Source organism: Homo sapiens, chromosome 15 (assembly GCF_000001405.40).
Source record: "Homo sapiens chromosome 15, GRCh38.p14 Primary Assembly".
Classification (NCBI taxonomy): Eukaryota; Metazoa; Chordata; class Mammalia; order Primates; family Hominidae; genus Homo; species Homo sapiens.
Genome location: NC_000015.10, coordinates 43,753,494 through 43,777,060, shown reverse-complemented (window position 1 = coordinate 43,777,060; position 23,567 = coordinate 43,753,494). Strand labels below are relative to the sequence as shown.

The 23,567-nt window shown below is 44.0% G+C and overlaps 2 protein-coding genes across 2 annotated transcripts in view, besides 3 other annotated features; one reads left to right on the top strand and one right to left on the bottom strand.

Annotated features, from left to right (window-relative positions):
- Window positions 33–142: a silencer, noted in NCBI's record as "silent region_6388". NCBI's record gives its function as "represses an Ori minimal core promoter by ATAC-STARR-seq in GM12878 lymphoblastoid cells {active_cell/tissue: GM12878}" and the evidence as "EXISTENCE:reporter gene assay evidence [ECO:0000049][PMID:35858748]".
- Window positions 95–4,441, top strand: ELL3 (elongation factor for RNA polymerase II 3). The gene is made up of 11 exons (NM_025165.3): window positions 95–291; window positions 517–552; window positions 910–1,022; window positions 1,138–1,339; window positions 1,451–1,536; window positions 1,680–1,755; window positions 2,288–2,465; window positions 2,543–2,585; window positions 2,708–2,879; window positions 3,713–3,757; window positions 3,835–4,441. The coding sequence occupies exons 1-11, from the start codon at window positions 160–162 to the stop codon at window positions 3,943–3,945; spliced, it is 1,194 nt and encodes a 397-aa protein (NP_079441.1). The 5' UTR covers window positions 95–159; the 3' UTR covers window positions 3,946–4,441.
- Window positions 126–654: an enhancer, noted in NCBI's record as "H3K4me1 hESC enhancer chr15:44068605-44069133 (GRCh37/hg19 assembly coordinates)". NCBI's record gives its function as "activates a minimal SCP1, AML or CMV promoter by ChIP-STARR-seq in naive H9 embryonic stem cells {active_cell/tissue: H9 hESC(naive)}" and the evidence as "EXISTENCE:reporter gene assay evidence [ECO:0000049][PMID:30033119]".
- Window positions 583–632: an enhancer, noted in NCBI's record as "active region_9323". NCBI's record gives its function as "activates an Ori minimal core promoter by ATAC-STARR-seq in GM12878 lymphoblastoid cells {active_cell/tissue: GM12878}" and the evidence as "EXISTENCE:reporter gene assay evidence [ECO:0000049][PMID:35858748]".
- PDIA3 (protein disulfide isomerase family A member 3) overlaps window positions 3,783–23,567 on the bottom strand; it is a 26,841-nt gene continuing 7,056 nt past the window's right edge. The window contains exons 2-13 of the mRNA NM_005313.5: window positions 23,159–23,237; window positions 20,295–20,412; window positions 15,530–15,637; window positions 13,855–13,984; window positions 11,495–11,611; window positions 11,049–11,174; window positions 10,151–10,333; window positions 8,464–8,572; window positions 7,415–7,543; window positions 6,732–6,811; window positions 6,481–6,538; window positions 3,783–5,956 (exon numbers count right to left, since the gene is read on the bottom strand). Coding sequence (NP_005304.3) covers window positions 5,843–5,956; window positions 6,481–6,538; window positions 6,732–6,811; window positions 7,415–7,543; window positions 8,464–8,572; window positions 10,151–10,333; window positions 11,049–11,174; window positions 11,495–11,611; window positions 13,855–13,984; window positions 15,530–15,637; window positions 20,295–20,412; window positions 23,159–23,237 — 1,351 coding nt within the window. The 3' untranslated portion in view covers window positions 3,783–5,842. The remainder of the gene's footprint in view (window positions 5,957–6,480; window positions 6,539–6,731; window positions 6,812–7,414; window positions 7,544–8,463; window positions 8,573–10,150; window positions 10,334–11,048; window positions 11,175–11,494; window positions 11,612–13,854; window positions 13,985–15,529; window positions 15,638–20,294; window positions 20,413–23,158; window positions 23,238–23,567) is intronic.

The following is a 23,567-nucleotide window of genomic DNA, read 5'->3' as shown; positions in this document are numbered from 1 at the left end:
GGGGTGGCGCTGGCGGGAGGTGGGGCCGGGGGCGGGTTCCTGGCGGAGGGTGGGGCAGACGTGGGTTACCGGGTGTGCCAACCAAACCCTGAACAGAGGAGGTGGCGGTGGTGGCCCTCGCCTGTGGCCCCCGTGCTGCTTGCACTCGAACTCGTCGCCATGGAGGAGCTCCAGGAGCCTCTGAGAGGACAGCTCCGGCTCTGCTTCACGCAAGCTGCCCGGACTAGCCTCTTACTGCTCAGGCTCAACGACGCTGCCCTGCGGGCGCTGCAAGAGTGTCAGCGGCAACAGGTACGGCCGGCCCCCTTCTTCTCTAGTCACTGCCCCTAGGGACCTTGGGCCTCAGCCGGCGACCCTGGAGAAGGTGCAGGGGAGAGGGAGCGGCTTCCGCAAGCTCTGGCCTCCCCACCTCTCCAAGTGAAGCCCGCTAGGCAGGTGATCCCGGGCTCCGGACGCCGGATCCTGGGGACACTGCTTCACCTGCGCTCAACGGTCACATCTTCGCTCTCCCCGCAGGTACGGCCGGTGATTGCTTTCCAAGGCCACCGAGGGGTAAGTGCGAGCTCAGGGTGTGTGAGCGAGGTGAGGGCGAGGGAGCATAAACGTGGGCTGGAGGTGGAAGGTGCGGTCGGGGCCGGAGGCTGCGAGTAGTCACGGTCTGAGGTAGTTCCGATAACTGAACTCCAAGTGGGGCGAGGAGGCTGCTGGGGTTGTCCCAGGGGGCTGTGGTTTGAGGGGACTGTGCTGTTTCGGCCTCCTGGGGAACTCAGGCCCAGCTGCACCTGGTGTGCTAACAAGCCCTGTGGGACCCGTCTTAGTCTTACTTACGGACTGGCTCCCGGACGAGTGGCGGCGGCAGGAGGGGGAGGGGCTGACTTCATGGGGCTTACCGTCTCCTTCCACCCCCAGTATCTGAGACTCCCAGGCCCTGGTTGGTCCTGCCTCTTCTCCTTCATAGTGTCCCAGTGTTGTCAGGAGGGCGCTGGTGGTAGCTTGGACCTTGTGTGCCAACGCTTCCTCAGGTGAGGGGGAACAGGTAGCCGGCAAGAAAGGGTTTGTGGAAAGTGGGGGAGGGAAATGTGGAGAGGTGCTTAAGAGGTCTCCACCCTCCTATTTTTTTCCACCATCCTTTTCCAGGTCTGGGCCTAACAGCCTCCACTGCCTGGGCTCACTCAGGGAGCGCCTCATTATTTGGGCAGCCATGGATTCTATCCCAGCCCCATCATCAGTTCAGGGACACAACCTGACTGAAGATGCCAGACATCCTGAGAGTTGGCAGAACACAGGAGGCTATTCTGAAGGAGATGCAGTATCACAGCCACAGATGGCACTAGAGGAGGTGGGTGAGGCCAGAAATTGCAGGGAGTTGTGATAAGGTGGGGCAAAGCCTGAAGTCCAAGGTATCCCAGTACTCCAGGGAACCAAGTGCTCCTGCCACTTTCCCCACCAGGTGTCAGTGTCAGATCCACTGGCAAGCAACCAAGGACAGTCACTCCCAGGATCCTCAAGGGAGCACATGGCACAGTGGGAAGTGAGGTACTTTGGATGGGGTGGGACTAACATGGGAAGCTTTGGCATTGTCTTCCTTTCTAATCTCCACTCTTAAATGTTGTAATAAAAGATCCAGTTCCACCTCCTACCCTGGTCTTCATCTGTCCCATTCCCTTAAAATATCCTAGAAGCCAGACCCATGTTCCAAACAGAGAACCTGTTCAGGCACTGCCTTCCTCTGCCAGCCGGAAACGTCTGGACAAGGTAAGTTAGAATGGCAAGGGCTTTTTTTTTGTAACATTAATATAATTAAACAGTGGCAAAGACTATTTTGAAAAGCACTTTTAGTCAAGCTAAAATTTAGAAATTGGAAGCTCGTTATATGGGAGGAATTTTTTTAGAGACAAGGTCTCTCTGTTCCCCAGGCTGGAGACTCCTGGGCTCAGGCCATCCTTTTTTTTTTTCTTATTCTCACTCAGTCACCTCAGGCTGGAGTGTTGTGGTATGATCACGGCTCACCACAGCCTTGAACTCCTAGGCTCGATTCTCCCTCCTCAGCTGGTGTGTGCCACTACACCAGGCTCATTTTTTTATTTTTTTGTAGAGATAGGGTCTCACTATGTTACCCAGACTAGTCTTGAAATCTTGGGCTCAAGCGATCCCCCCACCTGAGCCTCTGAAACGGTCAGGATTACAGGTATGAGCCACTGTGCCCAGCCTAGGAGAAATTCTTGAGAGAAGAACATATTTAGGAAGCTCTTGGCTGTTTATGTCACACAGATATTTTCCTCAACAGAAACGTTCAGTGCCTGTAGCCACTGTAGAACTGGAAGAAAAGAGGTTCAGAACTCTGCCTTTAGTGCCAAGCCCCCTACAAGGCCTGACCAATCAGGATTTACAAGAGGGAGAAGATTGGGAGCAAGAAGATGAGGACATGGACCCCAGATTAGAACACAGTTCCTCAGTTCAAGAAGGTGAGTTAATGAGAGGAGGGTAAAAATGCCAGTGGAAAAGACTTATAATCACTTGTGTTTTCTTGCTTCCTTCCTAGATTCTGAATCCCCAAGTCCTGAAGATATACCAGACTACCTCCTGTGAGTTCCTTGCTTTTTCCAATTTCATCAAGACTTGTTCATATATTAAGATACACTTCCTGGAAGCTGGGGGCTTTTCAGGGGCAATGAAATTGAAGGTGACAACTCTCTGCTCCTGGCAGGCAATACAGGGCCATCCACAGTGCAGAACAGCAACATGCCTATGAGCAGGACTTTGAGACAGATTATGCTGAATACCGCATCCTGCATGCCCGTGTTGGGACTGCAAGCCAAAGGTTCATAGAGCTGGGAGCAGAGATTAAAAGAGTTCGGCGAGGAACTCCAGAATACAAGGTAAGGACAGGACCCAGCCTGGCTTTCCAGCTCTACTGGCCATTAACCCCCTGCTAACCATCCATACACCTGTGTTTATAAAGTGACTAAGCAAAGTGACAAGGAAACCTGTTTGAAGGGAAAAATTAGTCTGTATCATTTGGTAGAATGAGAAGGGAAGTTACTTCCCTTCTTTTTTTGGGGGGACAGTCTAGCTCCGTCTCTCAAGCTGGAGTGCAGTGGCGCAATCTTGGCTCGCTGCAACCTCCACCTCTTAGGCTAAAGCGATTCTCATGCCTCAGCTTTCCGAATAGCTGGGATTATAGGTATGTGCCACCATGCCCAGCCACTTTTTGTATTTTTAGTAGAGACAGGGTTTTACCATGTTGGCCAGGCTGGTCTTGAACTCCTGACTTCAAGTGATCCACCCACCTCAGTCTCCCAAAGCGCTGGGATTACAGGTGTGAGCCACTGCGCCTGGCCCCTCTCTCTTTTTTTTTTCTTTTTGAGACAGTCTCACTTGGTTGCCCAGGCTGGAGTGCAGTAGCGTGATCTTGGCTCACTGCAAGCTCCGCCTCCCGGGTTCACGCCATTCTCCTGCCCCATTCTCCTGCCGCAGCCTCCCGAGCAGCTGAGACTACAAGCGCCTGCCACCACGCCCAGCTAATTTTTTTGTATTTTTTTAGTAGAGACGGGTTTCACTGTGTTAGCCAGGATGGTCAAGATCTCCTGACCTCGTTATCTGCCTGCCTCAGCCGCCCAAAGTGCTGGGATTACAGGCGTGAGCCACCATGCCTGGCCGCCCCTCTCTCATTTCTTAATGTTGAACTCAGTGCTAGTAATTTCTGTTTCAGGTCCTGGAAGACAAGATAATCCAGGAATATAAAAAGTTCAGGAAGGTAAGACAAGGTCTGGGAACGGAAGCAAGGTAGAATGAGAATTTTTACTTTTTGACATGGATGCTTTTTCTCTGCAGCAGTACCCAAGTTACAGAGAAGAAAAGCGTCGCTGTGAGTACCTTCACCAGAAATTGTCCCACATTAAAGGTCTCATCCTGGAGTTTGAGGAAAAGAACAGGGGCAGCTGAAGTTATCAAGGGAATTTTTGAGCCTCTGCTTAGTGAAACACAAAGGAACAAAGCAGCTATAAACTAAATAGAATGCAACTATCTGCTTTTCTTATGCTGACCACTGGAGTCCATGGTGGCAAGTAGAGAGCTGCTCTAGGTTCTTGAGGTTTGGTTTTCATTATTAATTTTTAGGGTATGGGCACTGTGCAAAGACTCCATAGCTGTGCCTAGGAGTCTAGGAAAAGTGACAGAGGCTTGGCTTTTTTACCTTTAGTTCAGCCAAGTCATTTTCAAGTCCTGAGAAATGACATCATCTTCAGGATAAAATAATGAGGACATTAGACAAACCAAACTAAGTGAATTTTAGCCTGGTAGCCTCTCTAAGGAAACAGTAATAATAACTTCTGATAAGAGTTAAAAGAACTTGTAGCATACCTGGATATAATGGGAAAGGGCCTGGGTGTTACCCATGTACTGAAAATGAACTTTTACCAACATGGCTAAAAAATTAAAACTGACTGCTTCTGTGTCCTTTGTACAAGTTTATATGTTTCCCTTAAATCTTCCAAGGCAGATGGTTCTTAACCCTGGCTTTACATCTGAGCCACTTTTGGGGCTCTCTAAACAATTAGATCCCCGGGCCCCAGCCCAGATGTTATGAGTTACAAGATTATGGTTTAGACATCTTTTACTTTTTCCAAGCTTTGTGTGTGACCAAGATACATACTTTACTATAAGGCTCTACCAAATTCATCTTAAAATTGACAGCTAAATACTGTAATTATATAGTAGGAAGAAAATTCTTTTCTGAACATAGGAGTTCCTAGGATCACCTAAAGTAGGGCTCCTACCTGGAATTCTCCAGTGACTGAAAACTATAACTGGGCAGGATTTGAATTTACCTACAAAAGGAGATAAATGGTTTAGTTGGACAAAAGATCACTCTTCAGTCTTATCCTTTCTGTTCCTCATTGTTACAAAAGAAAGTGGATGCTTCACTCATAACTAGGAATGGTACTGCCTTTCCCAGTTCTACTGAAGGGGAAGTTAAAGGGCCACACCCTAGGCTTTAGGGGATAGAACTGCACCCAGCAGTGTCAGCAATTCCTGAAACAACTTGGATGAAACTGCGTGATGCCACACCCTTGACAGGGCATTTCTGAGCAGAGAACAGTCCTTGGGAGATATAAACATGCAGTAAGCTCAGCTGCGTGGCAAGGATAAACAGGAACCCATCCTTAGGGCATGGACAGCCTAACAAGAAAGGCCCTTCAGCTGTTCTAATCACCAGGGTAGGCCTGGGAAATAAACATGTAAGGAGAGAAAGAGATAATAAATTTTGAAAGAATTTTGAGGTGATGAACTATGGACCCAGTCAGTCTACAGCTGCCGTGACCAGTATGGTAGCAACTGTATGGCTATTTAAATTAATCAAAACAAAAATGTAGTTTCTAGCCATATTTCAGATGCTCCGTAGCTACCTGTACTGAACAGTGTAGATTACAGAGCATTTCCATCACTGAAGAAAGCTCTATTGAACAGTGATAGTGTGTAGAGAACATCTGGTTCTCAATCTGGTGGAAAATAAGACAGTTTAAAGGGGTCTCATTTATTGTCACTGTTCCAAATGTACAAAAAAAATTAGAAAATACCCCCAACTCAACCCCACCCCCACAACATTTCCCCCAACACAAATAATTTTTCCCAAAACCACAAACATAAACTGGTCCTGGTATTTCCATAAACAGTGCAGCTAAGAAACAGTTTAGAGAAAATTTAACAGGATTCAGATTATATCCATTCTGTCCTCTCGGCCCTGAGAGGTAATAATTCCCATATGGGTCCTAGTCCTCCCCAATGGTTTTCCCATCTCTGATGGAAGAGTCCTTTTACAAAGTGGTGTTTGGCTACTGCTTTAGAGATCCTCCTGTGCCTTCTTCTTCTTCTTGGGTTTTTCTTCTTGAATTACAGGGGGGTTTGTAGCTTCTCTTTGTAGATAGCTAATAAAATCACTTAATTCACGGCCACCCTGAAAACAGAAAGATCAGCTTAAAAGTGTAACTTTTTAAAGAACCCTGATCTGCCCCACCCAAACAGGAAGACTTCTGAGTTTGTAAAAGCATATTAGCAGCCACATATACTGCCCATGAGAGTTTAAAGAGATTTTAGTTAAATAAACCCAATTAGCCTAGCACGGTGGCTCACGCCTGTAATCCCAGCACTTTGGGAGGCCAAGGCAGGCTGATCACCTGAGGTTAGGAGTTCAAGACCAGCCCAACCAACATGGAGAAACCCCATCTCTACTAAAAATACAAAATTAGCCGGGGTGGTGGCGCATGCCTGTAATCCCAGCTACTCGGGAGGCTGAGGCAGGAGAATCGCTTGAACGGTGAGCCGAGATCACGCCATTGCACTCCAGCCCAGGCAACAAGAGCGAAACTCCGTCTCAAAAAATAATTAAATAAATAAATAAACCCAATTAAAGAACTATGTTTAAGGTTGTGTGTTTACGTCTGTGTATATATTTGTGGGGATATGGGACAATTCACTTACTTCATATTTCTTTGGATTTAGCTTCTTGTTGGCTGGAGAGAAGTATATGGTAGGAAAACTGGGGAAAGAAACATTTATTAATTTCAAGCAGTTATGTGGGCCCATACTGCAGAACTCTTAAGCCAAGAAGGAATCAGTGGTTCTGCCTTCAACTGAATATGAAAACTATGTCTAGTAATGATTTCCTGGTGGTTACAAGCTTTATTCCTATCTATTGCCTAGACACTTTTGTTAAGTTTTAAGCCACTTACCCTCTGACTTCATATGGAGAAGGCACATCATTGGCTGTGGCATCCATCTTGGCTATGACGATATTTGGGTCTTTGCTGAGCTGTTAATAAAACAGGTTAAATGTTTACATTTCAAGTTTTCAGTGACAGAGGGACACTTAGTCAATTGAAGACTTAAAACAATCTCATTCTTCAAACACTAAAAATACAAAAATTAGCCGGGTGTGGTGGTGCGCACCTGTAATTCCAGCAGATAAACTGCTGTTCATGTGGGAAGAGTGGTTTGCAGATGGTAGTACCTCACTTTCCACAAGCTTCCCTTTTTTCTCTTGTATTAAGACTCTACATATTGCCACCTTCAAATTTACCTGGTCTGAATAAGACATTACAGGGGCTAAGCCAAATGTTTTAAGATGAAGGACCATATGGATTCATGTAAGCCATTACCAAAATTCAGAAGTCCTTAGATATTTTTAACCATTATCTAGATTGAGCCTGAGGAATGGAATGTTAAAAGTGGGTATCTCAGGCACTGCACAGGCTGGAGCACTAGGGGGCAGTCACGAGAAAGTGAGTAAACAGCAAGTAATTGGGAAAAAAATCTATCAGTACTTAGGAACCAACCAAATTAGCCAATGCTGAATACATACATAAACTTACTGCTCCCGCTCAAATGTTATCCTCAGAATAGGGTTCACACTTACCTTCTCGCCAAGTTCTTTATACTTGGGCTCCAGGTTCTTACAGTGACCACACCAAGGGGCATAAAATTCAATCAGCACATCTTTATTTTCATTATTCACTATTTCATCAAAATTCTCTGCTACCACTACCTGGAAAACACAGAAGAATCTCTAGTTGGTAACATAAAAAAATAAATTCACAACTGTATTTGTTCCTAGACCCAATCCCTCTCTAATTTGATGTGTTACCACAGAAAATAAGTCATGGAAACCCAAATCACATTTACAGATTGTATTAAAGATGTTGTCATTCACTAGATACCAACTCGTTCCTATGTCTGTCACCTGTCAAACTATGTTCAGGAAGTTACAGGACATAGAAGTGCTACCCAACCATTCCTTAAAATAATTTCAAGCCAAGCTTGGTGGCACATGCCTGCAGTCCAAGCTACTCAGAAGGCTGAGGCAACAGAGTAAGACCACATCCCTATAAAAAATTCAAAGCAACACACTGTTCTTAGGGGTTGCTCTATCCTCAAGAGTAACTTAGCCCAATATAAATTTCATCAGAAAATTCTACGCAGGCTTTACACGCTTGCCCCTACCAAGCATTATGAGCCCTGCCAATGCTTTTTTTTTTTTTGAGATGGAGTTTCGCTCTTGTCGCCCAGGCTGGAGTGCAGTGGCATAATCTTGACTCACTGCAACCTCTGCTTCCTGGGTTCAGGCGATTCTCCTGCCTCAGCCTCCCGAGTAGCTGGGCTTACAGGCGCCCGCCACCATGCCCGGCTGATTTTTTTGTGTTTTTAGTAGATACGGGGTTTCACCATGTTGGGCAGGCTGGTCTCAAACTCTTGACCTTGTGATGTGCCCGCCTTTGCCTCCCAAAGTGCTGGGATTACAGGCATGAGCCACCGCTTGGCCTGCCAATGCTTATTTTATGACTCGGGAGTAAGGACAAAAAAAAAAAGAGATGGCCAACGAAGTCTTCATTTAGACCCCACAGTTTTGGAACAAAGAAATGAGGACAGGCAATTGCTCATAGCTTGATGAGGCTGTGAGCACCTCACCTTCACAGGCCCATCATTGCTCTCTGGGATAGGTTCAGACTTCAGGTATCTCTTCAGATTGCCATCAAAGTAATCCTGCAGGAACCTCTCCAGAGCCTTCCCATCACGCCTACAATTGGAAAACAAGGGTAAGGCTTGTTAATCTATTCCCACCGCTGAGAAAATTACAGCAATTTCTTTGAATAGTTACTATGTATTTTAGCTTTTCAAGGCTAAAAAAGGGGGACTCTCATCTCTCAATATGCAGAACTACCGACTGAAGAAACAAACCGTTCCTTTTATTTCTAGTGTGTTCTTTGTGGATTACAAAGTTCAGAGAAAGGAGAATCATTGGTCTTCTGGAGATTCATCTTTGTAAGAAAACAAGGTCTTATTGCTCTGGAGCACACTATTTACAGTATTTTGTTTTATTGACTGGCTCACAAGGAAGATTTTCTCTTGTCTCAATCTCCCAAAATCTCAGAAAGTGAGGGTAAAAATTGTTTCCGGGGTCTTCAGATCTTCCCGATTCTGAGTTCACTTTAGACCCATGTGCTATTTCAAAAAGAAAATACATTCTGTAGGGATGAGGGGGGGGAATGGTTTGGTTTGAAATTACGTCAGTATCAAGGAGACTGTTCAATCTTTTTTTAGATTTTTAAATTTTTTGGAGACGGGGTCTTGCTATGTTGCCCAGGCTGGCCTCAAACTCATGGGCTCAAGTGATCAAGTGATCTTCCTGCCTCAGCCTCCCAAAGTGCTGGGATTATAGGTGTGAGCCACCACATCTGGCCCAAAGGAGGCTGTCCAATCTTATCTATTTCTTTCTTTTTTTTTTTTTTTTTTTTTGAGACAGAGTCTTGCTCTGTCACCCAGGCTGGAGAACAGTGGCATGATCTCAGCTCACTGCAACCTCTTCCTCCCGGGTTCAAGTGATTCTGGTGCCTCAGCCTCCCCAGTAGCTGGAATTACAGGTGCGCACCGTCACACCCGGCTAATTTTTGTATTTTTAGTAGAGACGGGGTTTCACTATGTGGGCCAGGCTGGTCTTTAACTCCTGTGATCCACATGCCTCGGCCTCCCAAAGTGCTGGGATTACAGGTGTGAGCCACTGTGCTCACCCTTTATCTGCTATTTCTAATGACCAAGTGGAATCATGTAAGAATTCCAACCTGCCATCCTTTCATTAGTTTTCAGAATTCATTAAGGATCATAATCCTTAAAGTACCTATATGTATTTATTTTTCTTTATTTATTTCTTTTTTTGAGACAGAGTTTCGCTCTTGTTGCCCAGGCCAGAGTGCAATGGCACGATCCTGGTTCACCGCAACCTCCGCCTCCCAGGTTCAAGCGATTCTCCTGCCTCAGCCTCCTGAGTAGCTGGGATTGCAGGCATGCACCACCGTGCCTGGCTAATTTTTTTGCATTTTTAGTAGAGACGGGGTTTCTCTATGTTGGTCAGGCTGGTCTCGAACTCCCGACCTTAGGCGATCCACCTGCCTTGGCCTCCCAAAGTGCTGGGATTACAGGCGTGAGCCACCACGCCTGGTCTAAAGTACCTATATTTAAATTGAGAAAAATGACAGTCATAGGTCTTGATTAAAAGACCTATCTTCACATTCCAGGGTTATTGTTCTTTAGAAATCCTTTGTAGTATAAAAGGCTTTAATAATTGCCTTGGAGAATCAAAGCCCAACTAGCAACTCACGAGAACTCCTCCTGCATGACAAACTTCTCTCCTTTAGCAGTTCTGATAGCAACAACAGGAATCTCTCCAGCAGTGCTCTCCAAGCCAAAATCAGAAAGTTCATGGCTAAAGGTTTTGCGGCTAGCTACAGCAAAGTTGAGTTTGTGCCCAGCATCCAGGAATTTCTTTGCCACCATCATTACCCTGTGGGAAACAAGAGACATTTGTGCCAAGACTATACAGGGTGGTCAAGCACTTTTGAAACTAAGAAGCAAGTGATTGGAAAGCAAAGACTAAGTTCTATAGTTCTAGCCTTCTGGAATCAGTCTGAACAGTCTGAGCTCTTGGGCACTGACACAGGGTTATGATATACTTCAATGCCTTACTGAACTTCACTGGCAAATTGGTGATACCCAATCAACTGGTGCATTCCTGCTAAATCTTGCTGTAATATATAACTGAAATCTATTATAGGCATAATAACTGATCTGAAAACAAAATTTGTAAGGGTAAAATGCACTGAGAGGCTCAATGTGCAAGTAAGCACAATGTTTTAAGTGCATTTTATATCAAATTTCCACCTTCTACTTGGAGTCACTGTGTCACAAAGCAAAGAAACACCTACGAAATACATGCCCAACAGATTGTGAAAACAGTTTATTTGTCCTTATGGCTTCAAATGTAGCCATTTGAAGTCAATTGTAGACAATTTGGAAGCCAAATGTTCCCATTCTTTCCTGCTTTTATACCACACATGGTAACAGGATAGTTACTTTAATTTTTTTTTTTTTTTTTTTACCTCTTCTTAAGGAACCATTTATTGTTTTACAGATTCTTAAGGAACCAACAAGATAGTTAGAAGGGACTGTCTATACATTGGGTAAACTTGTTCATGAGGGAAAAACATAATTCTTATTACCTGTTTCTCCAGTAGTTGGAACCTTTAGCGTTCTTTTCATAGTCCACATCATAGTAAGCAATAAGTAAGTCCTTGCCCTGTATCAAATCTTTATTGTCTTCTGTCATGTGAGGGCAGATACCAAAACTGAAATGAAATAATCCATTATCAACTGGCTTGCCAAGTTTTTAGCTATATCATAAAGTTGCCACAAAATAATTGATAGCATTTATGAAGGAAAGAGATTTTAAACATTTAGAACAAGTACTGAGCAATATATACCTTACAGGATGACAACAGGAGTTCTAACACCCACACATTACTGCTTTAATATAAACTCAAACTATTACTATTACAATCCCCCCAAATAGACTGTTTACGCCAAAATATAGCTCGGCTTAATAACTGAGGTAAACAAACTAAAATCAAGCAAATAAATCCCAGACAAGATACAAAGAAGTACTCACATGTTTTCCTGGATAAACTTTTTAATTTTGCCACTGGTCATTTTTTGCTCTGTATATGCCACAGTCTTGTCCTCAAACTTGTTAGTGAGATGTGAAGGACGAAATAAGATGATACCCCTTAAAAAAAAAAAAGAAAAGTCTCAGTAGGCAGATAGCAGAAGAACTGTCTCCCATCTTTTTTTTTTTGAGATAGGGTTTCGCTCTGTTGCTCAGGCTGGAGTGCAATGGTGTGATTATAGCTCACTGTAGCCTTGAACTCCTAGGCTCAAGTGATCCTCCTACCTTAGCTGCCCAAATAGCTGAGAACACAGGTGTGCACCACCATGCACAACTAATTTATTTTTTAAATTTTTGTAGAGATGGGGGTCTCATCATGTTACCAAGGGTGGTCTTGAACTCCCAGGCTCAAGCGATCCTCCCATCTCAGCCTCCAAAAATGCTGGGATTACTGGTGGAGCTCCCATGTTTCATGTAAAGCTCAGACTATGTACTTTTGCTGCCACTTTTAACTAGCAACATCTAAGCACATAAGGACTCTTTTCTAGTACCACAGATTCAGCAACAAGACCTTCTCATTAACACTAAGATGCTAACCACCTTAATCTTAAGTGCAATAATTGGGTATAGGGTTTACTAAATTTTGGGTTAGAAAATTAAGAGAACGTGGTTCTAATCATAGTTCCCCAACTAATTCCAAACACGTTGGACCAGGTCTCAATTTAATCCTTCTGGGCTTCAGCTTTTTCATTATCTCAAAAGGGGGTTAGAGTAGATTTTCAAACCTTTAGAAACAATAGCGGGCTGGGTGTGGTGGCTCACACCTGTAATCCCAACACTTTGGGAGCCCGAGGCAGACAGATCACCTCAGGTCAGGAGTTTGAGACCAGACTGGCTAATATGATGAAACCCTGTCTCTACTAAAAACACATAAACTACCCAGGTGTGGTGGTGCACACCTGTAATCCTAGCTACTCAGGAGGCTGAGGCAGGAGAATCACTTGAACCCAGGAGGCGGAGGTTGTAGTGAGCCGAGATCGCACCACTGCACTCCAGCCTGGGCAACAAGGGCGAGACTCTGTCTGAAAAAAATAAAAAAATAAACTCAAACTTGCTCTGAATCTTCTTTTCACTCATAGTTAGTGACTATTGTTTACATTTTTTTATACTCACCCCTTCCTATCCATTGCCACTAATGCTGTTGACCGAGTTTAGACTCTCACATGTCATCCTCAGTTTAGATTCTCCTTATAGTCCTTAGAATTCTCCTTAGAATCCTTAGAATGCCTTGCACCACTCCCCCTTCAAATCATTATCATGTGGCTGCCAGTGACTTCTTCACAAATTTAACCCATTTACGTGGGAGGTTGCAAATTGTTTTTGTGAAAGATCAGACCTTGGCAATGACCTTGAGCAGGAGGATATAAATAACTCCCACAAGCTTAGTATTCCAGTAATGGAACACTAGGCATTACTCCCCAGCCCAAAGTCTTTTAATGGCTCTCAAATGTCTAAAAGATAAAATCAAAGCTCTTTTGTATGGCACTTAAAATTTATAATTTGGTCTCTGCTTAATACTCCAATCTTATCTTTCATTATGATCTCAATCACAAACAATACTCCAGCAGTACTATGGGCCCCAACATGCCTAGGCTATCTTACATCTCAAGGCCTTCACTCCTGGTGCTCTATCTGGAATAATTTTTATTTCAAAGGCCATAACCTTCCAGAGAAAACTGATCCTTCAAGAGTCACCCCCTCTATGAATATTTCTGATATTACCCCCCTACCCCATAAGAAGAAAAAAACACTCCCTCTTTTGTACTTCCAACCACTCCATATATAGTTCTACATACACTTACACTTTCATTTTTATATATGTTCATGCATACAATCTCCCTCTACTAGATAGAGGGATGTTCCTTGAAGGCAGCAATAGTTTCTGGGCATGTAGCATAATGCCTTGAAAGTACTCAATAAACCCTTGGGAAAAATTAGGTATAAAAATGACCAATTCAGCTGGGTGCGGTGGCTCATGCCTGTAATCTCAGCACTTTGGGAGGCCGAGGTGGGTGGAACACTTGAGGCCAGGAATTTGAAACCAGCCTGGGCAACATGGTGAAACCCTGTCTCTACTAAAAATACAAAAATTAGCAGGGTGTGGTGGCGCGTGCCTGTACTCCCAGCTATGCAGGAGGTTGAGGCGCGAGAATCGTTTGAACCTGGGAGGTGGAGGCTGCAGTGAGCAGAGATTGCACCACTGCACTCCAGCCTGGGTGACAGAGTGAAACCTTGTCCCAGTCAATCAGTATCACCAGTTCACACAATAATACTTGGTCAGGAGATTCAACTCAGTCACTTACTCTCCATTATCATCATACTCGTTCACCAGAGACTCAACATTCGTATGTGCAAATCGGTAGTTATCCCTCAAGTTGCTGGCTGCTTTTAGGAACTCGGAGTGAGCCTCACTGAATGAATCATCGAAAAAACCTATACAGAAAATATTAAACACAAGGAAGAAGCAATAAGTGCTGACAGATGGACATTCCAAACCATAAACGTCTATTCCATAAACCATAAACATTTCATTCTATTTTGAGGACTGGGTCTGCTTTGCCATGACTACCTCAGACAGGCACAATATTTAGGATGAGAATTTTCCCTCTACCCTTTACAGAAACATTTCTTGAGAGAGCCAAGGGAGAAAATTTGTCAGTGTTCAAGTCTTCATTTTACTTTCCCATAATTGAACAAATTTGGGCAAATTGCTTAAGAGTTTCAGGGACTATTTCAGGTATCAGAAGGATTAAATTAAGATGACATGTCAAAATAAACTGTAAACCACTTCACCCAATTTTTTTCCTTCTCTATATTTGTCTTCAGAACTACTCATTTAGAAAAGTGACTAAAACATAAATGTTTAATAAATACATGCTAACTCCTTGTAAAATATAAAGAATCAGTAAAATCTAGATGATAAAAAGTGGCTTTTAGCCAAATTTAAACAGTAAACCATATTCTGCTGCCAGAAAGTCACTTTTTTTTTTTTTTTTTTGCGACAGAGTTTTGCTCTTGTTGCCCAGGCTGGAGTACAATGGCGCGATCTTAGCTCACCCCAACCTCCGCCTCCCGGGTTCAAGCGTTTCTCCTGCCTCAGCCTCCCGAGTAGCTGAGATTACAGGCATGCACCACCATGCTCGGCTAATTTTGTATTTTTAGTAGAGACAGGGTTTCTCCATGTTGGTCAGGTTGGTCTCAAACTCCCGACCTCAGGTGATCCGCCCGCTTCAGCCTCCCAAAGTGCTGGGATTACAGGCGTGAGCCACTGAGCCAGGCGAAAGTCAGTTTTATTACAGTAATTAGGAGACTAAGAGAAGCACAAACATAGCTTTTATGTTTAAATTTATTTTTTAGTCAAATTTATCATATATCACATTTAAAAAACAAAACAATGAACATCTAAGATGCAGAAAGTGTTTAACTGGCTCATGTCATTTAAAAACGAGATACTGCAACACATGAGAAAGCAATGAATGCTGCAAAAACAAGATAAATCCTAGCGATCTGATTTTAAAGTTCCCTAATTTCTGTGAAAATAGCAGAGGTTTATTATTTACTTGTATCTTCCTACCTTAAAACCTTATTTTCAGTCATAACTACCCTATTGTGAGTCAAATCTCAGAGTTTAAGAAGCATTAGAAAACGCTGAAGATATTCCTATCCTAGTCCTTTATTTTTTTCCCCACACCCACCCCTTCCAGTCCCTTTAATTGAAATTAAACCTTTACATCTATGAGAACACAAACCCACTCAAATAAAACACCAATTGCCCCCCACATTATAATTACATTATATAGTAATTATATAATGTACTATATAGTACATTATAGTAATTGCTGACCCAATTCTGTCAGTTGCCTTCTCAACTGCCCCAAGGTTTCCTTAACTGCTTTAATTCTGTGGTTTTCCCAGACATGGAGGGTTTTGGAAACCAAACTGACAATTCTGTGGCACGGTTTAATATTTGCTACTTACCTACTATAGAGGCATCTTTATCACTAATGAATTTCTTAAATTCTTCCTCAGTCCTGAGAGGCACTGAAGCTGGTCCTGCCTGCTTCTTCAAGTGGCTGACAATTCCATCTTAGAAGTCAAAATAAAAGTTATGACAACACAACTTATTTATAATTTTTGAGAAGGCAATTATTCATCATTCACAATTCAGAAGGTACAAAAGGGTATAAGATGAAATCTTCTTGCCACCCTTGTCCCTAGTCACCCAGTTTCCTCCTTGTAAGATTTCAGGTTTTTTTTTTTTTTTTTTTGAGACAGAGTCTCGCTCTGTCGCCCAGGCTGGAGTGCAGTGGCACAATCTCAGCTCACTGCAAGCTCTGCCTCCTGTGTTCATGCCATTCTCCTACCTCAGCCTCCTGAGTAGCTGGGACTACAGGTGCCCACCACCATGCCCGGCTACTTTTTTTTGTATTTTTTTAGTAGAGACGGGGTTTCACCATGTTAGACAGGATGGTCTCGATCTCCTGACCTTTGATCCACCTACCTTGGCCTCCCAAAGTGCTGGGATTACAGGCGTGAGCCACCACACCCAGCCAAGATTTCAGTTGCTTGTATATCCTTCCAGACATTTTCTGCATAAACAGGCAATTATATATACATAGCTACCTCAACCTTTTATTACAGTGGCATAGCGTTTTTTATTATTATTAAAAAGTTTTTTTGGCCGGGTGCTGTGGCTCACGCCTGTAATCACAGCACTTTGGGAGGCCGAGGCGGGCAGATCACGAGGTCAGGAGATCGAGACCATCCTGGCTAACACGGTGAAACCCCGTCTCCACTAAAAATACCAAAAAAATTAGCCGGGCATGGTGGCGGGCGCCTGTGGTCCCGAGCTACTCGGGAGGCTGAGGCAGGAGAATGGTGTGAACCCGGGAGGCGGAGCTTGCAGTGAGCCGAGGTCGTGCCACTGCACTCCAGCCTGGGTGACAGAGTGAGACTCTGTCTCAAAAAAAAAAAAAAAAGTTTTTTTTTTAACAGAAACATTGTTTACAATGCATAGTGTTTCACTATAAATGTGCCACAGTTTATTTAAGCAGACACAATTGCAAAACTGATGGACATTTGTTTCCAATCTTTTTTTTCTTTTCTTTATTTTTTTTTTGAGACAGGGTCTCCTTCTGTCACCCAGGCTGGGGTCCAGCGGCATGATCATTGCTCACTGCAGCCTCGACCTCCCAGGGTCAATCAGACCTCTCGCCTCAGTCTCCTGAGTAGCTGGGTCTACAGGCATGCACCATCCCACCTGGCTAGTTTTTTGTATTTTTATAAAGACGGGGTCTCACTATGTTGCCCAGGATGGCCTCCAACTCCTAGGCTCAAGCAAACCACCTGCCTCAGCTTCCCAAAGTGCTGGGATTTCAGGCATGAGCCTTGTTAAACCATTTTTTTGTTTGTTTGAGATGGAGTTTCACTCTTGTCACCCAGGCTGGAGTGCAATGGCGCGATTGCAACATTGGCTCACTGCAACATCCGCCTCCTGGGTTCAAGCAATTCTCCTGCCTCAGCCTCCCGAGTAGCTGGAATTACAGGCTCCTGCCACCACGCCCGGCTAATTTTTTGTATTTTTAGTACAGACGGGGTTTCACTATGTTGGCTGGTCAGGCTGGTCTTGAACTCCTGACCTCGTGATCTGCCCACCTCGACCTCCCAAAGTGCTGGGATTACAGGCGTGAGCCACCATGCCTGGCCCTTGTTAACCATTTTTAAACATACAATTTTGTATACTATTTGTGCTACCTCATGTAAGTGGAATCATATAGCAGCATGTAGTCAGAATTTTCTTCTTTAAGGCTGAATAATCTTCCACTGGATGCATATACCGTATTTTGTTTACTATTCATTCACTGATAAGATACTTGGGTTACTTCTACCTTTTGGCTACTATGAATAATGCTGCTGTGGATATAGGTGTACAACTATCTTCTTTTGGGTATACAATAAGTCCTCAATATTATTCATATGTTCTCAGAAACTGCAACTTCAAGAGAAAGAATGCATAGCAAGTCCTAGAATAACACTGTTTCCTGTAACATTGATGAGGAAAAAAAAAAACAAGTTTTGTTATAGGTTGTTTCACTTAAAAGTCACAGCTTCCAAGAATCTATAGACAACATTAAGTGAGAACTAAATGTATACTCAGAAGTGGGCATACAGAAGCTGGATCATATATATGGTAATTTTATTTATTTATTTACTTATTTTTGAGACAGAGTCTCACTCTTTCGCCCAGGCCAGACTGCAGTGGTGCTATCTCCGCTTACTGCAAGCTCCGCCTCCAGGGTTCACGCCATTCTCCTGCCTCAGCCTCCCGAGTAGCTGGAACTACAGGCACCCGCCACTGCACCCGGCTAATTTTTTGTATTTTTAGTAGAGACGGGGTTTCAATGTGTTAGCCAGGATGGTCTCGCTCTCCTGACCTTGTGATCCGCCTGCCTCAGCCTCCCAAAGTGCTGGGATTACAGACGTGAGCCACCACGCCTGGCCTAGTAATTTTATTTTCATTTTTATTTTTTTTTTTGAGACAGGGTCTCACTGTCACCCAGGCTGGAGTGCAGTGGTGTGATCTCAGCTCGCTGCAACCTCCACCTTCCAGGTTCAAGCGAGTCTCCTGCCTTAGCCTCTCAAGTAGCTAGGACTACACGTGTGCACCACCACGCCCAGCTAATTTTTGTATTTTTTGGTGGAGACATGGTTTCACCATGTTGGCCAGGCTGGTCTAGAACTCCTGACCTCAAGTGATCAGCCTACCTTGGCCTCCCAAAGAGCTGGGATTACAGTCATGAGCTACCGTGCCTGGCCTTCTATTTTTAATTTTTTCAATCTTTTTTTTTTTTTGAGACGGAGTCTTGCGTTGTTCCCCAGGCTGGAGTGCAGTGGCCCGATCTCGACTCACTACAACCTCTGCCTCCCGGGCTCAAGTGATCCTCCTGCCTCAGCCTCCCAGGTAGCTGGGATTACAGGTATGCGCATCACACCCAGCTAATTTTTGTATTTTTAGTAGAGAGACGGTTTCACCACATTGTCCTGGCTGGCCTCAAACTCCTGATCTCAAATGATCTGCCTGCCTTGGCCTCCCAAAGTGCTGGGATTATAGGCATGAGCCACCAGGCCTGGCCCTATTTTTAATTTTTAAAGGAACCAACATACTGTGTTTTCCATAGTGGTTGTCCCATTTTACATTCCTAATAGTGCACAAAGTTTCCAATTTCTCTACATCCATACCAACATTGGCTATTTTGTTGTTGTTGTTGTTTTGAGACGGAGTTTCCTTCTTGTTGCCCAGGCTGGAGTACAATGGCATGATCTTGGCTCACCGCAACCCCGCCTCCCAGGTTCAAGCGATTCTCCTGCCTCAGCCTCCCGAGTAGCTGGGATTACAGGCATGTACCACCACTCCTGGCTAATTTTGTATTTTTAGTAGTGACAGGGTTTCCCCATGTTGGTCAGGCTGGTCTCGAACTCCCGACCTCAGGTGATCCGCCAGCCTCCCAAAGTGCTAGGATTACAGGCGTGAGCCACCGCGCCCGGCCTATTTCGTTGTTTTTTTTTTTTTAAATAGTAGCCATCCTAATGGGTATGAGATGGTTATCCATATATACATGGAGATAACACACATACCTTTGTGTGTGTGGAGATGGAGTCTCGCTCTGTTGCCCAGGCTGGAGTGCTGTGACACAATCTTGGCTCACTGCAACCTCCGCCTCCTGGGTTCAAGTGATTCTCCTGCCTCAGCCTCCTGAGTAGCTGGGATTACAGGCATGTGCCACCACGCCCAGTGCTAATTTTTTCTATTTTTAGCAGAAATGGGGTTTCACCATGCTGGCCAGGCTGGCCTCAAATTCCTGACCTCGTGATCTGCCCACCTCAGCCTCCCAAAGTGCTGGGATTATAGGTGTGAGCCACTGTGCCTGGCCCACACTTTTTTTTTTTTTTTTGAGACGGAGTCTCGCTCTGTCGCCCATGTTGGAGTGCAGTGGCGCGATCTCGGCTCACTGCAAGCTCCGCCTCCCAGGTTCACCCCATTCTCCTGCCTCAGCCTCCCGAGCAGCTAGGACTACAGGCGCCCGCCACCACGCCCGGCTAATTTTTTGTATTTTTGGTAGAGATGGGGTTTCACTGTGTTAGCCAGGATGGTCTCGATCTCCTGACCTCGTGATCCACCTGCCTCGGCCTCCCAAAGTGCTGGGATTACAGGCGTGAGCCACCGCACCCGGCCCCGGCCCAAACTTTTTATTGGAGATGGGGACAAACTTATATTGCCCAGGCTGTGCTCAAGACAGTCTCTCACCTCAGCCTCCCGAGTAGCTAAAACTATAGGTACGTGCCACTGCACCCAGCTCATCTATATTTTTAAAACTTGTTTGTTGCCTTCTCCCCCTCATCCCCCAGAATGTAAGCTTCACAAGAGTAGGGACCTTGTCTATTTTATCAATAAATGCCAACGACCTAGTATATTTAGAATATCTGGCACACAGTAATTACTCAATAAATATTTGTAAAATGAAAAAATGTCGAGCTGACCTTATAAATCAAGTTTGTGTATTTTCTATATTACTTATATAATCTGTTCATTTAGAGAGGTCTTTTGTTACCACCAAACTGACCTCTTAGATGAGGAAGTTTTAAGACTGAAAGTATACTGTGTAGAAAAACACATTTTTATGTTTCCACTACAAAGAATAAGGTACTTAACATCAGTTTCCAGAATGTAATTCAGGATCCTTACCAGCAGTCCTAGGTCCATCATAAGCACCTGCTTCTTCACCATCTCTAAATATCTTCAGGGTTGGATATCCACTGACTCCATATTTATTACAGGTGTTAGTGTTGGCAGTGCAATCAACCTAAAGATCAAAATACACAAACTATTTTCTTATCCAAGTTTCTGCTGCAGGTTCTTCCTATATTCTCAAAATACTAGGATTGGTCAAATCCTAAGGGGATCAAGGAATTCTTGGCATATATGCCACAGAACATTAGATTTTAAAGGCAGACTGGAGCTTGCCTAACTACATCAGAACTGCCTAAGGAATTCTTTAAAATTGAGATTCCTAGGCCTCACATAAAATGCAAAGTTCCTGTTTAAATTCTGCCCTTGTAGTCTCTATTAGCTAAAGCGGTGGTCTTCATCTTTTTTCTGCCTCAGAACACATGAGGGATAAATCACTTAAATTATTAACAGTGGCTTACTTTGATTACGACTATCACCAAGGGGATATATCGATGGTGGTACATATCCTTTAGGTGTAATGTAATTTGATTTTGCAAATCATCTAGAGCTATTATCAAAGGTACCAACACCTGTACACGTACCCTGAACTAGTTTGAATCTGGGCTATACCATAACATAACCGATCTAGTGAGACCTATCAGGAAGAAGGAAAATAATTTCCCGGAACGAGCCACTTACTCCAACCCAGGCACAAGTACTTTGCATATATTATCTCATTTAATCTCCATAAGATTATGAAGTATGATCCTTATGCTCTAAGATGGGTAAACTAAGATCCAGAAAATTAATTAATGTGTCTATAGTCACACAGGTAGGAATTGTGATTGAATTTTTTTTTTTTTTTTTGAGACGGAGTTTCACTCTTGTTGCCCAGGCTGGAGTGCAATGGCACGAACTCAGCTCACTGCAACCTCTACCACACAGGTTCAAGCCATTCTCCTGCCTCAGCCTCCCGAGTAGCTGGGATTGCAGGCACCGGCCACCACACCTGGCTAATTTTTGTATTTTTAGTAGAGACGGGGTTTCACCATGTTGGCCAGGCTGGTCTTGAACTCCAGACCTCAGGAGATCCACCCGCCTTGGCCTCCCAAAGTGCTGGGATTACAGGCGTGAGCCACAGCGCCTGGCTATGATTAAATTTTTTTCCTATGGCAAGCTGCTTGATAAGATTAAAAGTAATTTCCAAAAATAGCCTTATATATGAACTATTTGGCAGAGGTAAGAGCTTTTAGACTAGAACAACTATGGGTTTACTACAGAATGGCAACATTCTGGAAGCATTACTTTAATTGTAAAAACAAATACCAAGTTTACAGTTGACCATTTGGTTACATTTTCATCAATATCCTCATATCATTTTCGTATTACCATCATTGTGATTATCACATAGCAGTTTAGGGAACTCATTTACTTGTAGATTATTATTATTTTTTGAGATGGAGTCTTGCTCTGTCGCCCAGGCTGGAGTACAGTGCCATGATCTCAGCTCACTGCAACCTCCGCCCCCCTGGGTTCAAGCGATTGTCCTGTCTCAGCCTTCCAAGTAGCTGGGATTACAGGCACCTGCCACCACACATGGCTAATTTTTATATTTTTTAGTAGAGATGGGGTTTCACCATGTTGGCCAGGCGGGTCTCGAACTCTTGACCTCAGGTGATCCGCCCTCCTCAGCCTGTCAAAGTGCTGGGATTACAGGCGTGAGCCACCGTGCCCAGCCTCAATGATTATTTTAACCTTTATAGCTGTACTTCTGCTTTCCATCTTTAATTCTTATTTACCATATACTTTACTACTTTTTTTTTTTTTGAGACAGGGTTTCGCTCTATTGCCCAGGCTAGAGTGCAATGGTTCAATCACAGCTCAGTGCAGCCTCAACCTCTCTGGCTTAAGCAATCCTTCCACCTCAGCCTCTGAGTAGCTGGGACTATGGAAGCCTGCCTGTATCTTTAGTAGAGATGGAATTTTGCCATGTTGCCCAGGCTGGTCTCAAGTGATCTACTTGCCTTGGCCTCCCAAAGTACTGGGATTACACTTTTTTTTTTTTTTTTAAGAGACAGGGTCTTACTCTGTCACCTAGGCTGGAGTCTAGTAGTGTGCAGTGTCTAGTCACTGCAGCCTCAAGCAATCCTCCTGCTTCAGCCTTTTGAGAAGCTGGGACTACAGGTGTGAGCCAACACACCCAGCTTTTTAAATTTTTTGTAGAGATGAGGTCTTGCTTTGTTGCCCAGGCAACAAACTCCTGGCCTCAAGTAATCATCCCAAAGTGCTGGAATTACAGCTGTGAGGCACCATACCTGGTCTATTTTACTTCTTATGCCAGTAATTTCCTTACTCTCACTACTTTTAATTTTTTTTTTTTTTTTTTTTTGAGACGGAGTCTTGCTCTGTCACCAGGCTGGAGTGCAGTGGCCCGATCTCGGCTCACTGAAACCTTCATCTCCTGGGTTCAAGCAATTCTCCTGCCTCAGTCTCCTGAGTAGCTGGGACTACAGGCACGTGCCATCACACCCAGCTAATTTTTGTATTTTTAGTTGAGACAGGGTTTCACCGTGTTGGCTAGGATGGTCTCAATCTCTTGACTTCGTGATCCACCCACCTCGGCCTCCCAAAGTGCTGGGATTACAGGCATGAGCCATTGCGCCCAGCCACTACTTTTAATCTTTTGAAACTACAAGTCAGTTGTGTATTTGCCCAGAAACTAGTATTCGCTCTTCTTAGCAGAATAAGAGTAGAGAAAATGAATGTTAATCTTACAAACTATTTATTACTGTTATTTTTTTCCATGTAACAAAGCTGAGACAACAAACTACTTTTTAAAATACTTCACGTCCTTTAGTGAAGAATCCACCTGTACTTACCTTTGCTAATGGGACTATTCCTTTTAATCTGGTAGCTGCAGCTTCATACTCAGGTGCAAGTCTCTTGCAGTGTCCACACCTATATACGTATTAAAAAAGCCAAATTCTCAGTTTAGTCCTATGAATTTGTTAATGTTGTCTCACTAGGAAGAATCTCAAACTATAATACTACCTTTGAGCTAGTAGACACTTCCAAAAAGCAAAATCATCACATGAACAACATTCATTATTGTTAAAGTAAACCAGAACTCTCAAGAGGTAAAGGTCCTACCCCTAGACTGAGGTTGACTCCATAGTACTGGCTCAGCACAGGGCAGCTCTATTTTCTCAATACAAAGTATAACTAAGTTGTGAAAGCTGTAGTCAAAGGTGTACGCCACATTATTAAAGAGGGTTGAATGGGTTAATG